Genomic DNA, 753 nt, shown 5'->3' with positions numbered 1-753 from the left:
CCTGTGACCCAGCTGATGTGATTTCTTGCTCAGGAGCTGTGACCGGGGGGAGACCTTGAGCCTGGGGAAATACAGGTACATTCCCTGGGCTATTCCAGGGATGACTGCAGGCCACCTCCAGCCTCTTGTCCCGGGATCCCAGTGGGGAAACCTTGAGCCTGGGGGAATACAGGTACGTTCCCTGGGCTATTCCAGGGATGACTGCAGGCCACCTCCAGCCTCTTGTCCTGGGACCCCAGTGCCCACAGGGAAGCAGTGTGGGTACCCCGTACTCTCCTCTGTGAAGTGAGGTGGCAGCATGTCCCGTACCCCACAAAGACTGAGCCATCAGGTTACTGCTTCCAAATCTCTTGGGTCTTTGGAAACTGAAGGCAGGCTCTGTGGTTCATGAACCCTCCCAGTTGATGAACCCACTTGACCCAATCAAGACCTTTTCTTTCATGACAGGCATCATTCAGGCTGCCATTAGTAATGTGCTTCCCTGCTCCGCATCCCATCTCACTACATACAGCCTGCAGGATAAGCAAGATTCATGAGGTGTGGAATAGCCACAGATGCAGCAGGGTTCTAGCCCCAGCACTACGGCTTGCCAGCTGTGTGACCTCAGACATTCCACTTCTCTGGGTCTCCTCAAACTCCCCATTCTCCTCACACCCAAAAATCTCACCATGGAGTTGTTAACACACCCTTCTCACCTCTCTCTCATTCAGTCATCAATACAATCCAGTTTAGCTTCTGACCCCATCTGGTCCC

Source organism: Homo sapiens, chromosome 3 (assembly GCF_000001405.40).
Source record: "Homo sapiens chromosome 3, GRCh38.p14 Primary Assembly".
Taxonomy (NCBI): domain Eukaryota; kingdom Metazoa; phylum Chordata; class Mammalia; order Primates; family Hominidae; genus Homo; species Homo sapiens.
The sequence above is the reverse complement of the archived record's forward strand: the minus strand, read 5'-3'. Positions refer to the sequence as shown.